At 43.8% G+C, this 12769-nt stretch overlaps 2 annotated features.

Moving 5' to 3' along the window:
- Positions 3941–4141: a silencer, noted in NCBI's record as "peak5585 fragment used in MPRA reporter construct". NCBI's record gives its function as "represses an SCP1 promoter by STARR-seq MPRAs in K562 erythroleukemia cells {active_cell/tissue: K562}" and the evidence as "EXISTENCE:reporter gene assay evidence [ECO:0000049][PMID:32103011]".
- Positions 11344–11515: a silencer, noted in NCBI's record as "fragment chr5:174756399-174756570 (GRCh37/hg19 assembly coordinates)". NCBI's record gives its function as "represses an EF-1alpha promoter that drives an FKBP-Casp9 reporter gene in an ReSE screen in HepG2 liver carcinoma cells {active_cell/tissue: HepG2}" and the evidence as "EXISTENCE:reporter gene assay evidence [ECO:0000049][PMID:32094911]".

The raw sequence follows: 12769 nt of genomic DNA on the forward strand, positions 1-12769 counted from the left end.
CACACAATTTGCTACATTTCTTTCCTTTCTGCTATACATATGACAATGTTCCAGAAAGAGGTTTTTCCATCAGCTGGATCCCAGATTGAAGACTTAAAAGTAGAATCTGGCTGACTCAGGATAGACCCAAACTTCTGGAATTGTAAGACAATAAGATTTTAGTATTATTTGTTAGTGTGTCACAACCTAGCCTGTCTTGACTGATACAGTGTTCCCAAACAAGAACTTTGGGGATACAAGGAAGACACAAATACCTAAGAAAAGAGTAAAACTGAAGCTATGCCGCCATATTCTCTGAAAATGAGGATACGGCAAAGAGGAGACTTTGGCTCCTGTGATTTGGAAAGAAAAGCAATCAGTGTGGCTATTTAGAGGCACAGTCATCATAAGAACAAGAGGGCAGAGCAAAATTATGCAAAGGCTATCACTCAAGGAATTCAGGAGGATTTTTGTTCTCCCCACAGATGGAGTCATAAATAGCCAGAATATATTATCACAGGCAATCAGAAAATTGCTGTCAGTAATTTTAAATGAAACTTTGGCAGTGAAATGTTGAAAAAATAAAACTCAGCATGCAAAACTCCCAGTACTCTTTTGTATGTTTTTTAGGGTTTTGGGATCAGGGAACCTGTATCAAGCACTGGCTCTGGCTAATTTAAATAGAAAAATGATTTGTTATGGTGATATTGGATAGGTCTTGTATCTCACAGAGAGTGGAGATCTGAATTGAGAAGCTATGCAGCCAAGGATAATATCTTAAAATCACTGTACATATTGGCCCAGTTTAGATACCAGTTTATAGTTGCCACGGATGAGGACAGGCCCAGCAGCTTATACCGCCAATATTATGGGAGGTGCTATGGTTTGGAATGTTTGCCCCCTCCAAAACTCATACTGAAATGTAGTCCCCAATGTGGCAGTATTGAGAAGTGAGGCCTTTAAGAGGCGATTGAGTAATGAGGGTTCATGGGTTAATATGTTAATGGATTAATGGTTTATGACAAGAGTGGCACCTGTGGCTTTATAAGAAGAGAGAGAGCGGAGTAGCACACTCAGCCCCCTCACCACGTGATGTTTTGTGCCATTTTGGGATTCCTCAGAGAATCTCCACCACAAGAAGATTCTTCACCAGCCCACCAGTTGTGACCCCTTGACCTTGGACTGCTCAGCCCTCATAACTGCAAGAAATAAATTCCTTTTCTTTATAAATTACCCAGCTTTAGGTATTCTATTATAAGCAACACAAAATGAACTGAGACAGGTGATGACATTGAAACTGGAATTTAGATGAAGCCAATGCAGCATTTTCCATCCCCTCCTTGCTGGCGTGTTCCACACCAAGGACAGCTCCAAGGTGCCACTAACCTCTGCTACTACCAAAACTGCTGATGGCTCCCAAACGTTTTTGAGGGGTGTTTGGTCAGAAAAGCAAATTGAGGCAGTTGCAATTCTCTGCTAGTTTCAGCAATAGGGTCTTCTTTGTGAAACCACTGGTAACTGGAATTCATTTCTCCACAGTTTCTGTTTGGAAAAATCATGAAGCCTTGAAGCCCAACCATATGTAGAGTTCATTTTAAAAGTTTCTCAAACCAGATTATGTTCCAGGCAACCTTTTACCAGAGAAAAAATATTTAAAAGGTAAGCACCATTACCACAACTAACTCATCCCCACAAAAGATTTGGCATGGCCTGTGTTTCTGGTGTCACTAGCTTATCGCTCATAGTTTGGGGTGGGTACACATGAAGGTCAAACTCAGTGCCATACACAAGGGATCCTAGAAAAAGTTCGTTCATTTTTATTTTTTATACTGAAAAGTAGATTCTGTCTCAAAGATGGAGGAGTCTTCACAAAGAGGAAAGGGGTTCAGATATCGGGTCAACAAGAATGACAGACAGCTACTCTAAGGCCACATCTCTCACATGGAGAGCAAATAAGGTGCAGTTAAAAGGACCCAGACTTGGATTCAATTCCTGCTCTTTTCATCCTAATTGTGTGAACTTTCTCACAGCTGGGCCTCACCTTGTTATCCACAAAATGGGTGACTGCTGTCGTTATGATTGCTACCTATTTATATCCCCCTATGTATCTTTCTATCTGTTTGTAACAGACTCATCTTAAGGGCATTGCTGCAAATTATGTCTGCAAAAGTCACAGACAGTGGTCACAGTACAGTGACCACATGTGAGCCACAAACATGTTTGAATTGGCCCATCATGCTCCTGAAATGTTTTAATTGTCAACCACAAAATATCACCAAAGATATAGATTTACCTGTGTTTTATAAGTAGAGATCAGATATTCTGATTTTTCTTTTCTTTATATATAAAAAGGGTGCAGCTTTCACCACACACCCCTCACCCGCTTTGCTAAAACCATCTTCCTATTTTTTTCTATCTTCCAGTGTCAGTCATATAAATGACATAGAAGGAAGCTTCCTGGACTTGATCACCAGGACTTGAGTTTGACTTTCAGCTCTTCCACCTTCCAGTTGTGTGACTTAGGGACAGTGACCTAATTTTTTAAGTTTTAATTTCTTTATCTTTCAGAATGACTGTAAATACCCTTTAGAATTGGTAAACACATGCAAGGAAAGGGCACCAGAAGCCCTTTAGTCACTCATTATTAAGCTGTCAGGGATTTTCCCAGTCTCACATCCTGCCATGACTCTCCTCATAGTCTATTATTTGGCAACACTTCACTCCCCTCTCTCTCTCCCTCTCTCGCTCTCACTCTCTCTCTTCATGGTAATATACTGTCCTTTTCCAAATTCTGTTCCTGCTCTCTGGATTGTCTTCTTCTCTCTTCAACTTTTTTCAAGGGCATCTCCTCCACGAAGCTCTCCATGATCCCCTGGGCTAAATTTGTTGCTCTTGGAGCTCATGGGGTTCCCTGACTCTTTATGTCATGCTACCATTATTTCACAGTTCTATAAGTTATCTGTCCATCCATGTCCCACTAGACTGAGCACCTTGGATGGTGGGGTCTTGTAGCAAGATCAAGGAGAAAATAAACCTAAGCTACTTGGGAGAATCTCCAAATAATAATCGTGAGTCAAAAGGTATGTTACAGAAGAATATACACAGAATGAATAATATTTATATTCAAATTTTTAAACATGCAAGAATGTTGTATATGTTTTAGAAATATACATATGTGGCAAAAATAAAAAGATAAGCATTGGAAAAATAAACAAAATTTATAGGTTTCCTGGCAAAGAGACATGAGATATACAATCAGAGTGGCTGTGGAGAGAGAGAGACTTGTCTACCCAGAAAGCTTTATTTTTATATGTAATATTCTATTTCTTAAATCTGGGTGTTATATGACTATACTTTTGCGTGTATGTTAAACATGTTTAAATAAATTTTAAGATGAAAGTAAAGAGCATGGGATTTGGAGTTAAAAAGATCCTGTCTCTGTTACTGTCAGTGAGATCCTAGGCAAGTTACCTTTTGAGCCTCAGTTTCCTCATCCATGAAATGGGAATTAGAGTTGTTCTTTAGGATTTTGTGGAAATTATAAGAGATTACATCTACTAAGTGAGTGTCCCGTGCAGGATCTAGCAGAGATCAAGCGCTCAGGAAATGTATGTTGAATAAATTAACAAATATTAGAAACCATGTAAGATGCTTTAAAATGTTTCTGGGGGTGCTTACTTGTTTAGCACCTTAATGTTGTTAAAGTAAAAGAAGTAAAAGCATCATAACTGTCTGATTAGTAAATACTTGACTGTTGAAAGTAGAAAAAAAAGCATCAAGACCCCTAACTATTCTCTTCATTTCCAAAGATCATTCCCAATATTTAAGCCTGTATTGTGAAAATAAAGCATAACTCCTTCAGAAGAAGGATCACAGTGTAAGGAAGGGGGGCTTCAAACAGGAGGCACAGACTCCTTAGAGATGCCTCTTGCTGCCAATCACCTCTCCTCTACCCTTGACCAGGAAACCTCTTCAGAAACTCACAGAATGACAGGCGGTCAGCATACACCTTCTCTGTGTGCAGAGAAGGGGACAGGTCCCACTGTGGCATTTCCCATCCCCGCCTTGCTGTTGTGTCTGTTTCAGCACCAAGGACAGTTCCAAGGTACAGCTAACCTCTGCTACCAAAACTGCTGAAGGCTCCCAAATGTTTTGAGGGGTGTTTGGTCAGTAAATCAAATTGAGTCAGCTGCAACCAACCTCTGTAATTCTCTGCTAGGTTCAGCAATAGAGTCTTCTTAGTGAAACCACTGGTAACTGGAATCCATTTCTCCACAGTTTCTTTGGAAAAACCGTGAAGCCTTGAAACCCAACCATACTGGAGAGTTCATTTTTAAGTTTCTCAAACCAGTTTATGTGTCAGGAAACATTTTACCAGAGAAAAAATATTTAAAAGGTAAACATCTAAATGTATAAATACATATTTTTCAAGTTAAATACAAGAAACAGCCCTGAGACAGAGGATAGCAGAGTTAGAGCAGTGATTTAGGATTGGTGGGCCAGAAAAAGGCTCTCTGAGGAGCTGATATTGAATTTGGATTAAAAGTTTCTGGCCATGCAAAGATTAAGCAAGCACAGCCATGCAGAGAAACTGTGTGCAGAGGCCTGAGGGAGGAAACAACTGGCCTCTGGGGAGAAAGCATTTCCATAAGAAGGAATAGAAAGTGCAAAAGCTCTGAAACCAGAAAGAGGTTGCCTGTTTGATTAACAGAATGAGAGAAATGTAGCCTCATGGCTTCCAGCAAGATGAAGAAGTCATGCAATAAGGTCAGAAAGGTTGGCCAGGACCAGAACAAGTAAAGTCTTAAGTGCCATGGTTTACAGGGGATTTTTTTCAACAAGCGATGAGAAGAGGTTGAAATAACTTAAGCAGAGATGTGATAGAATCACATTTATGCTTTAAAAAAATCACTATTGCTGTTGCCTGGAGAATGTGCTGAGAGGAGGCAACCAGTAGAAATAGTTTAAGTGGTAAGTGGGGTTATCTTGGTGAGAGGTGAGCCTGGTATGGATGGGGTAGGGAGTTGAGGCAGACAGAAGTATGCGGATTCCGGAAGTACTTTGGAGATTGAACAAATAAATCTTGTTAGTATATTTGATATGAGGGTGAGAGAAAAAGAAAAGATTAAAGATGAGTTTGGGTCTTCTCATTTGAGCAAGTGAGAAAATGGAGATACCTTGAAATGACCTGGGCAAAGTTGATGCAGAGAGAATAAATTGATAGAAGACCAGGAGTTCCATTTGGAGCATGTTAGGCTTGAACAGAACAGCATCCAGGCAAAGGTCTGATTGTATAAAGGTCTGGCTGGTTGTATAAACTGGGAGCTCACCTTGGGTTGGACATTCACTCAGGCATCATTGTGCTTAGCATAGGGGTTCTTATTGGAAAGGGGAGCATTTTGTCTCCCAAAAGACATTTACCAATGTCTGGAGATATTTTTGTTTATCACAACTGAGAGGAAAAGGGATGCACCTAGCATCCCTTAGGTAGAGGCCAACAGTGCTGCTAAGTGCCCTGTAATGCACAGAACAGCACCCACAACAAATAATAATTCCACCCAAAATGATAATGGTGCCGAAGTTGAGAAACCCCGGTTTAGAGCTTAGACATGTGCTACTTCCCCTAAGGAGGAGTGTTCATAGGCAAGAGAAGACAACTCAGGACTGCTCAAACTCTCTCTGTTGGCCACCTCAATCCTTTTGCTCCAACTGTAGACTTAGCTTTCTCATCATCTAGCTTTAAAGAAAGCACTCAAGCTTTAGAGTCAGACAAATTTGAGTTTAGATCTCAGCTCTACCACTAATCATGTGACTGGGCAAGTAACTTAACTTCTCTGAGTTTCAGAGAATAATAGTATTGCCTCCTGGGTTCGTGACAAGGGAAATGAGCTGATTATAATGTGGCAGGACATTGTCTACAACCCATAAACACTCAACAGATGATTATATTCCCACGTGTGGCCTAGCTTTAATTTTGTGTTTTTCTGAAACGTCTATGCCCCCTCACAACTATCCTCTCACCCCAGACTGCCGTCTCTGAGCTGTGCCCTGTGCAGACCTTTGTATGCCACATTTTGCACTGCAAGCATCTATTTATGAGCCTGTCCACCCCTGCTCAGCAGTGAGTATGAAGCCAACTCTACACATGTTCATAGGCCGCTGTAATTTTCCCATACACAAAATCATACCCTTTATATTCACTCTCCCCTTTAACCCACATGTCAGCCCAGGGAAACATGTTCTGGTGTTCTTGGTTTACAACGGCAGTCAGCAGGGCTCAGTTTAGAAAACAAACTAAACAACCCCAAACATATCCCTTCTGCACTAAACCAAGTCAAGATGCAATCCCCACTCCATACAGCCTCTTAAAAGTTGCTTGACACCTGCCCTGGAAACCCAAGTAAAGGTGTCAACCACCATCCCCAGGCAACTTTGGTTTGTGGATCCAGAGTGTCATGGGGCAAGGGAAGGCCAGCTCTGGGTTCTCCCTGCTCAGCACCACTGCCTGCCCAGCCCCAGGCAGGCTCCTTGGAAAGCCAGGATTCTGTCTTGCTGAGACAGCTTCAGCTAAGCCACTATGGTCTCTTGGCCCAGCAGGCCTTAATGATGTCACTTAGACCTGGGCGCAAATTTGCTGAGCCCATGACATCACAAAATCCTCTTCCCAGGGCCTAAGGAAAAAAACAGAAGCTTTCCAGGGTACTGGCTGCTTACAAAAAAGGGAGAGGGCTGGAGAGTTTATTATTTGGGTCTCTAATGAAAAACCTGAAAGGAGTCATTAAAGGACCCTGAATTTTGGAAAAGATCTTTGTGGAAAGATAAAAAATAACTTTTATTCTCTAGCTTTTCCAAGTCTCAGCTTCCTCCTTAAATGCAGGAAAATAATAATTATTTCCTTAAAGAAACAGCTGTGAGGTTTCATGAGCAAACATATATTAAAAACATATAATGTCCAGCATCAAAAAGGGAGTTGGCAAATGGTATGGTTTGGCCTTGTCCCCACCCAAATCTCATCTTGAATTATAGTTCCCAAAATCCCCATGTGTCATGGGAGGGGCCTGGTGGGAGGTAATTGAATCGTGGGAGCAGTTACCCTTATGCTGTTGTCATGATAGTGAGTTCTCACGAGATCTAATGGTTTTATAAGGGGCTGTTTCCCCTTTGCTCGGCACTTCTCTCTCCCACCACCTTGTGAAGAAGGTGCATTGCTTCCCCTTCATCCTCTGCCATGATTGTAAGTTTTCTGAGGCCTCCCCAGCCTTGCAGAACTGTGAGTCAGTTAAACCTCTCTTCTTTATAAATGACCCAGTTTTGGATATTTCTTCATAGCAGCATGAGAACAGACTAATACACAAAGAACAGTCATTTTATTTAATTTCAACTTATTAAATAGTGTGTATTTATTGAAGAAAAATTAGATAATGTAGATAATTCAATAAAAATAAGAAAAGCCAACCACAAGCCCACCATCCTAAGATAATCACTGTTAGGCTTCTAAACAGGTCCTTTCAAACATTTTTTCTATGCATGAATATGCAGACACCTGATTCAAAAACATGAGATCATGCCACTATCAGAGGCTTTCACCATAAGAGAAGAAAGCCCACACGTTCCAGAAGGCCCACTGTATCACTTCAGGCCCATATATGTGTACATGGGCTTAACTTTGCCCTCTGCCTTAATGTGAGTTGGCATTAAGCAAAATTAGATTAGTATCCTCCAGACAAAGACAATTTACCTAAACAGCAAGGTTCAGTTCACAGTAGCTGCAAATAGAATGACTCTTGTAAGCTTATTTGAATTGAGGCATCAAATTCCTTTGAAACTAGGTCATCTTGTGGAAGTGCAAGTCCATCCTTGCTTGGTGTGCCTGGAGAAAGGCAGAGGAGCTTTGGCAATCCCTAAGGAGTGTACTTCATGCAATGGGAATCACTTGCAGGCACTAGTGGGAACAGCCAGGGATGCTCACATTCACTAACACTTACTATGTGAGAGGTACTTTGTGGTCTTCATTCATTTAATCTTTACATCTTTATGAGGCTGGTACTATTACTGTCCACATTTTACAAATGGGAAAATTGAGGTACAGAGAATAAAGGGAACCCTAAGATCTGTTTCATCCCAGAATTGCTCATGGGACCTTGGGCAACTCATTTAACCTCTCTGAGCCTCTGTTGGCTAATCTTGCAGGGGGAACTGCAATTCATTTACAGTTCTCAGCACAGACAAGGAGCTGAAAATATATTAGATTATATCCTTTATCTTTTTCAGAAAATGCTTGGCAAAATTTTAACACTGCTCCCCCTTCCCCAGCCCCCAGGACTAGAAACACAATTTAATTCATTTAATCAAACCTGTCATTAGCTCTCTTCCTGGCCACAGGTGTGTGGCCATGGTCTGGAGCCTCATTAGTAGGTCCATGGTATTAGGGCTTGGGGCCATACCAAGAGCTGCCAAGTATAGCAGGCCACAGTTTCCATGGCCTTAGAGTGAGCTATTTCCTGTTTAATTTTCACTTGTCCACAAAGGCTATCAACTGCTTGGGAAGCAGAAAAATATCATATCATTCTAGAAAATCCGAGAATGAAATCAACTGAGAACAAGTATTTTTTCCCTCTTAGGCACCCAGAAGTTCCAGAATAATACATAAAGGAAACCAGTGCTAAAATACTGAGGTCATGGAGCAGTGGAAAGTCCATGGGGTTGTAGGCATTTACCTCTCTCTGCCCCAAGCTGGAGGGGCCCCCAGAACCCTCATGGTGGGGCTCTTACTTTCCTCTAAACTCCTCTGCACCATCATGGGACTGTGAGAGGAGAGAGGACTGTGAGGCTCAATGGAAGCCCAGCCTCCAGCCCCATCCTCTGGGAATTAAGAGCCCCTTTATCACCATCTGTACTTGTTCATTCGATGAATGCTCTTGTGTTTAAGGTGTTTGTTTGTTTGTTTGGAGACAGAGTCTCGCTCTGTCGTCCAGGCTGGAGTGCAGTGGCACGATCTTGGCTCACTGCAACCTCTGCCTCCTGGGTTCAAGCGATTCTCCTGCATAGCTGGGATTGCAGGCACTTGCTCCTGAGTAGCTGGGATTACAGGCATGCGCCATCACGCCCAGCTAATTTTTGTATTTTTAGTAGAGACGGGGTTTCGCCATGTTAGCCAGGCTGGTCTCAAACTTCTGACCTCAATTGATCCGCCTGCCTCGGTCTCCCAAAGTGCTAGTGTTACAGGCGTGAGACACGATGCCCAGCCTGTTTAAAGTTTTGATCATGTAGAGTCAGCCAGATTGAAAATACAGCTGTTCTCTGGGCAAGTGCAACCTGTCATCTGAAAGGAGAGAACATTTCTCCTTCCTACCATCAGTTACCTAGGGAGTAAAAAAGGCCTCCAGAATGAGAACTGAGAGGGCTATCCCTGCATTGGCAGCAGAAGTAGAATCTATGCCATAATCAAGAGGCATCAAGAAGTTCGGGAAGGGCTCCTGGTTAATGGGAGTGAGGCAGTGGGGAGAGGTTGCCGTGGCAACAGGACCCAGCTGTGGGAAACATGTGGCAGCCTGGGACACCAGAGCCCAGGCAGAGTCCAGAGAACCCTGTGGGGTCCATAGATGGATGTCCCAGGAAGCCCCTGGAAGAGACAGACTTAGGGCCTAGAAAGGAGCACCTCATGGACCCCACCCCTGTGTGGGCAGCCATGGCTCTGGGAAGTAAAATACCTGATTGGTTCTCTCATTATAAATTGTTTACTTTCGGTAGCAGAAATAAACCTCAGTTCTCAAACTCAGATGTACAAGAAATGTAGCCCCATTTTTTGTATATGTTTTCATTCTATTCCAGCACCCATTCCACGGGGGTGGCAGAAGCTTGATCTCAGCAAATTGAAGCCCTTTCCTATCTCCAGGGTGGGACTGAAGCTCCAGGAGGTTTATGTAATTCCAAGGACCCAAGGATTAAAGACACATTGGTTCTCACTGACATCGGTCCCTTCAGGGGACTGCTGCCAGGACCAAGGCCCCTCTTGTTCTGGAGGTCTCTCTCTGACCTGTGGGCTCCTCTCTGGGGTGCAGGAGTCACCTCCTTGTCATGGAGTTCCAGGGATCTACCTGAATGCTCAGCTGTAACCATAAATTTATTTCTTCTCTCCAGTATTGCCACCTCACTAGGATGAGGCCTGAGTCTGCTCTGCCCTTGAGTCTAAAAATCACATCTAGAAGTCCCCTAAACCTTGGTTTGGTAATGAAACAGGGTCCAGGATTCTTCCTTGGGGCCCCAAAATATCGATGCATTCTTTTGTTTGCTTCCTTGACAGCTCCAGCCTCTCCCCACAGTCTGGGAAGTGTCCTGCTGGTCTGGGAATGTCATGGCTCTTCCCTACGCATCTCATTTACTGCTTGTCTGGGCTCAGAAGCCCTTTGCACTCCCTAGAGAAGGACAGGAAACTCAAAAGGTGAAAATCAATTTTTCTTTTATTCTCTGACTTTCTTCCATGTCATTCACGTCCACATATCAGAAGTGGAAAGACGCCAGGTGCAGTGCTCATGCCTGTAATCCCAGCATCTTGGGAGGCCAAAAAGGGAGGATCGCTTGAAGTCAGGAGTTCAAGAGTAGCCTGGGCAACATAGTGAGAACCCGTCTCTATGAAAAAATTTTTAATTAGCTGGGCATGGTGGTACATGCCTGTAGTCCCAGTTATTCAGGAGGCTGAAGTGAGAGGATCGCTTGAACTGGGGAGGTCGAGGCTGCAGTGAGCCATGATCATACCACTGCACTCCAGCCTGCTTGAAACCAGAGTGAAATCCTATCTCAAGAAAGACAAGACAAGATGGAAAGGAAAGGAAAGGAAAGGAAAGGAAAGGAAAGGAAAGGAAAGGAAAGGAAAGGAAAGGAAAGGAAGAGAAAGAAAGGAGTTGTAGCAGAAGCCAACACTGGGAACCAAAATAAAAACACCAGAGATGTGTGTGTGTGATATTCTGCTTTATTTACTACTATACTCAGCTCTGCTGGCTGCATAACGAAACTCCACCTGCTCCTGGTGGTGGGGATTTTCCCAAACTCACCTGACCTCAACACCAACACACACTGCTATACGGCTTTAGCAGGGCACTACTGGGACCTGGCCCATCAAGCACACTTTGCTCCTTCCTTTCTCAGACACAGGAACAACAGAGCCTGAGGCCCGAGAATTGCCGACTGCAACCCCCTCTCCTCCTCAAGGCTGCGTTGTAGTCAGCCACTCCCTCTACCTCGGCACCCTTCTCTCTTTCAACCCCTTCTTTGTCAAATTATCACCGATGATCTGGCTGTGACTATGCTGCCCCCAGGTTTACTTCTCTGGATCTTTATCAATGTGTTTGGAGGGGCTGGACCATCTCTGAAAACTCAGAGGCCCCAGGGCCAAGGTCTGTGCTGTGTAGAGATCACAGCATTAAAGGTGGACAGCAGCCCTCAGGCAGTGGAGAACCCAGTGGGGTCAGAGCCAGAAACTCCAATGGTCAACTCCTTCATGCAGCCCACGGCTCCTCTATGCAGAGGAAACTGTAGTGTTTGGGGTCTCCTCTCACTAAAAAAAATAGCGTTTCCTCCAGTCTCCTGGAAACTGAACCCATGGCTGAAATAAAGCCCTGAAGTAAAATTGGCCAGTCAATACTGGTTAGTTTTTCTTCTTCTTCTGGGACTATTTATGCACCAAAGACATCAAGAGCCGCAGAGAAGGACCCAGGCAAACTAATTAATTTTGGTAACAAGAGCTTATAATAGCTAAAAAGCACCTTGTACTCAGGATTGATGCACTTTCTAATTTAACTTCTGCAATAACCCTAACAAGTAGGAATTATTATTATCCCCATTTTACAGATGAGGAAAGTAAAGCACAGACAGGTGAAGCGGCTGGCCCTAGGCTACCCAACAAGCCATCAGATGGAGGAATGACTTGCTTCCAACCTCGTGCTCTCACCTCCTCTGCCGTGCACACAATGAAAGCCTCCAAACCAGTGCCAGTCATCTGGTCTACCCTCACACTGAGAAATGGCAAGGATGTAGAGCCAGAACCAGCTGGTAGGACCATGCAGATGCGAGCAGGGCTGCCTTTCAGCATCAGCCCGAGCCCTTGTGCCTGCCAGCAGCAGAAATATAGCTAGCTGCTGCTGCTCTGCTCACTCACTCACTCACACTCACTAGCTCAACTTGCTAGACGGGTGTGGGCGTAGGTAAGTGAGCCTCAAACTCCAGAAAGTTCTGTTTCTCTGCTTAAAATCCAGCACTGCCAACCCCAGGCATTTGCTTTTCATTTGTATTTTGCAAGCTCAACAGAAGCCTCTTCCATAATGAATTGACGCCACCTGCACAGGTCCTAGGTGGGAAGCAGACAAGGGAGAAATGAGCTTCAGGGTCATCTTGGCCCCGCTCACCTGTCTGAGCCCCCAGCAGTGCCAAATCGACCAACCCCCAGGACCGTAGCCTCTAGGCAGTGGCTCCGTACCAGTTCTCACACCTGGGCTTGGCTCAGAGACTCCCAAAGGCCACCTTCTGGGGATGTCCTGGGGCCTCTTTGCTGACCCAGCAGGGAACTCAATGTCTTCTCCTGCAATCCCAAATGGGAAAGTGATCAGACTGTGTAGCTTCTGGATGGACAGACCCATTAGGCATCTCAGCTCAGTTTTTAACTAGCTGTGTGGTCCTGGGAAAGCTGCTTCAACTCTCCTGATATCAGTTTCCCCATCTATAAAATGAAGATGATAATAATAATGCCTAACGAAATGGGGTAATGTGGGGGATTATGAGGTGAGGTGATGTTTGG

Source organism: Homo sapiens, chromosome 5, assembly GCF_000001405.40.
Source record: "Homo sapiens chromosome 5, GRCh38.p14 Primary Assembly".
In the NCBI taxonomy this organism is placed as follows: domain Eukaryota; kingdom Metazoa; phylum Chordata; class Mammalia; order Primates; family Hominidae; genus Homo; species Homo sapiens.